Below are 3,797 nucleotides of genomic sequence, written 5' to 3'. Positions count from 1 at the left end.
TTGATGAAAAATGATAATTTTTATGATTTAATGATGATTTTTAAATTTCCCAACTCTGGTGTCAAAATAGAATAGTCATCATCTAGGTTAAAGTGTTGGTTAGGATCTATGTTTTTCACATAATATTATGGACTTCATGGATTATTTGAAGAATACAGAGCCAATTTATTCTTAATGGCCCAGAATTGACTTCAATTATGGCTGAACATATAAGAGAGATTTTGCTTTGACCAAATTATTTTTATGTGCCAAATAATTGCTTTAATTAAGTGCCGATTTAGGTCATGATTTTCAATTTCCTTGATGTGACATACAACAAGAAATAACTTTATGAAGACTATTATTCTTTTTACTTTAGAGATACATTGACAGTATAAATTCTGATACTCAATGAATCCAGTATGAAGGCCTATGTAAAAATGTTTTTCATGGCTAAATGTCTGTATAACCATATATTTCCTATAAGGCAATATTATGGTTTATTCTTCCAAATGATGTATGTTGTCAACTCTTGACAGCTGACAGTTTTTTAGTTGTAAACATAGTATCAGGAGCTAACAAGATATGAAGAAAATTAGGTAGAAATATAAAAAATAAATTATTTTACAGTATTATCCAACAGAGAATGTTTTGTGTATCTTCTCCTTGTGAAAGAAGTATCCTGAAATCTGACATTTCTTTTTTGCCTGCTGTCTTAAAATACTTGAGAAAAAAATTCCCCCAAATATAAAAAAAAAGTTGTTTGTGAAACATAACTTTTTTGGGGGACAATCCAAATATTTCAGTGTTCTCTCCTCCTCTCCCCTGGTAACAGTGGAAGAGGCTAGTCCCACATATGGAGGCCTTTTGACAGCCTAGGGCTAGAGGAAATTAGTTTTCTTACTTCTAAAGATAAATGCAGTTTGCAAGAAGAGCTATACTGGAATGTTGAGGTCAAAAAGCTAACGGACACAGTAAAGTATTCAAAACTGAAGGAGATGAGAATCCTGTAGCAAAGTGAGTATAAAGAACTAGGAATGTCAAGGATAATCAAATGGTGCAAATGGAGAGCAAGAGAAATTATGAATGAGAATTCTTTTCTTTTGATCAACCAGTAATCAGTAAGGCACCCTGACACAGTCTTGTTTTGCTTGGCCAGTAGTATGATTTGATTTGATTAATGCAAAGACTTCTTGTTTTATATTTTTAGAGATTGTGTTTGGCTTTTTTTTTCTATCAGGGCTTTGAAGAAGGGCACATACTCCCCTTCGAAAGAGCAATTATCCTATTTCAAAACATGCAGCGTATTTTTCCATATAACTTTTTTGAGATGGAGTCTCACTCTGTGGCCCAGGCTGGCGTGCAGTGATGCAACCTTGGCTCACTGCAACTTCTGCCTCCTGGGTTCAAGCGATTCTCCTGCCTCAGCCTCCCAAGTAGCTGGGATTGCAGGTGCCCACCACCAGGCATGGCTAATTTTTTTTTTTTTTTTGTATTTTTAGTAGAGACAGGGTTTCACCATATTGGCCAGGCTGGTCTTGAACTCCTGAAAACCTAGACAATACAATTCAGCACATAGGCTTGGACAAAGACTTCATGACTAAAATACCAAAAGCAATGGCAACAGAAGCCAAAAGTGACAAATGGGATCTAATTAAAACTAATGAGCTTCTGCACAGCAAAAGAAACTATCATCAGAGTGAACAGGCAACCTACAGAATGGGAGAAAATTTTTGCAATCTATCCATCTGACAAAAGGCCAATATCCAGAATCTACAAGAAACTTCAACAAATTTACAGGAAAAAAACAAACCACCCCATCAAAAAGTTGGCAACAGACACTTCTCAAAAGAAGTGAACAGACACTTCTCAAAAGAAGACATTTATGCAGCCAACAAACATATGATAAAAAGCTCATCATCACTGGTCATTAGAGAAGTGCAAATCAAAACCACAATGAGATACCATCTCATGCCATTTAGAATGGTGATCATTAAAAAGTCAGGAAGCAACAGATGCTGGAGAGTATGCTGGAGAGTATGTGGAGAAATAGGCCCAGCTGATTGGTTTGACCAGGTGTGCCTTTTACATAGCCTGCAAAAAGACTGGCCATCCCACACATGTAGTTTTTTCTGGAGGCTGGCATGACACCTGGCACACCTGGTGACAAGGGAAAGAGGGCGGGAGCCACCATATTGGGTGGACCTGGTTTCTAGCTACCAGTATTTGCATATCAGTGCTTTCAGGTCTGGTTATTCAAGCCCCTTTCTGATAGAAAAGACATGGATTGGGAGTTGCTTTTTTTTTAAAGGAAAGTTCCACTGGGAACTTTCACCCTTTCTAGCTGCCTAAAAATTGTTTCTTAATAACTCCTGTAATAGAAGCAGCCTGAGGCTCTCACCAGATGCAGATGGTCAATATTCAATTTTATAGATTATTAGAGATGTGAGCCAAATAAACCTTTTTCTTTATAAATCACCCAGCCACAGGTATTCCTTTATAGCAACATAAAACAGACCAAAACACATGGGAAGTAAGAAAATTTCTGCCTTACATGATACAGGTCTTTCTAGTCATTATTATGTGACACTCTTTGCTTCCTCTAGTAGAAAGTAGATGTATTTCATAAACAATTATGAAGTAGGCAAAATTCCACAAAGTTTGGGCCAATTCAATTATTCAAGAGATATTTGCTTAAGTTTCAACAAAGTGGAGGAAACAAATCTTGATTCTGACTCTATAAAAAGAGAAATGTTTGCTATTAGAAATATTTCTATTAGAGGATACAGAAATCACACATCTCACTATAATATAATAACAAAAGGTTGTAATTTGATGAAATTACTGACATTCACCTTAATTATAAAATGTAGACAAGTTTTAGCAGTACTTTAAAGGAAATAGTTGGTCAGACCAGGACGTGATGTAATAACAATGAACTATGTACATCCCTATACTTATCTATCCTTCCTAGAATATGGGGAGGGAGTTGAGGGGAAGTCTTCAATTAATAGACTTGAAAAATTCAAAGAACCTCATCAGCCAAAATATAAGAAAATAATGCAGTTACTTTATAAATGTTAACTATTATTGTTAAAAATAAAAACATAAAAATAAATTTGTTGAAAATACTGTCTCTTGGAATGCTGACATTTTTAAATGCATTTCATTATAATAAGAATCTATTAATTACATTAATTACTTTGCGAACTAGAAAGTTCTTTCCCACCTTGTTTTTGACTAGAAAAATCATCTGGAAACACATTACTATTTGCATATCACTTGCTATAATGGGTCCCATATTCTTGAACATCATACTTCTCTGACTACTACCAAATAAATGTTGTCCCCCTTTAGAATAAATTTTTTTTGAAGGACTCAGATACAATTTCCGCATTCATCCACTGCACATTCTCTTCAATCTCCTCCGTTCATCCTTGTCACTACACCTCTGAAACATTATAGGGTCACCAATGTGCACCATATTGTCTATTCAAGTCTATTACCCATATTCAACTTTCCCACCAGCATTCACACAGTTAACACTCTTATTCTAGAAACACTGGCATTGGTTTCCATGTTACTGCACTCTCTTAGTATCCCTCAAGGCTCACCAGCTGCTGACTCTTTGTACCTTTGCTCTTCTGTCTACTCCAGACCACGAAGTGACGGAGAACAAATGTTTTCAGTTCTTGTCATTTTTCTCTCCTCCAACAACACTTTCCCAATAGGTGAATTTATTTATTTTTTTCTCCTCAGATATACTGTATCATTACTTCATGTCAGTAGCATAACTTGACAAAGTTTCAGCACTGACA

General features: G+C 35.6%; 1 non-coding gene across 1 annotated transcript; it reads right to left on the bottom strand.

Annotated features, from left to right (window-relative positions):
* Window positions 1-3,729: 3,729 nt before the first annotated feature.
* LOC124903257 (small nucleolar RNA SNORD38) lies at window positions 3,730-3,797 on the bottom strand. Its single transcript, XR_007063952.1, has one exon. It is a non-coding gene; the product is annotated as a small nucleolar RNA SNORD38 (small nucleolar RNA).

Source organism: Homo sapiens, chromosome 13, assembly GCF_000001405.40.
Source record: "Homo sapiens chromosome 13, GRCh38.p14 Primary Assembly".
Lineage (NCBI taxonomy): Eukaryota > Metazoa > Chordata > Mammalia > Primates > Hominidae > Homo > Homo sapiens.
This window is presented reverse-complemented; position numbering and strand designations above follow the sequence as displayed.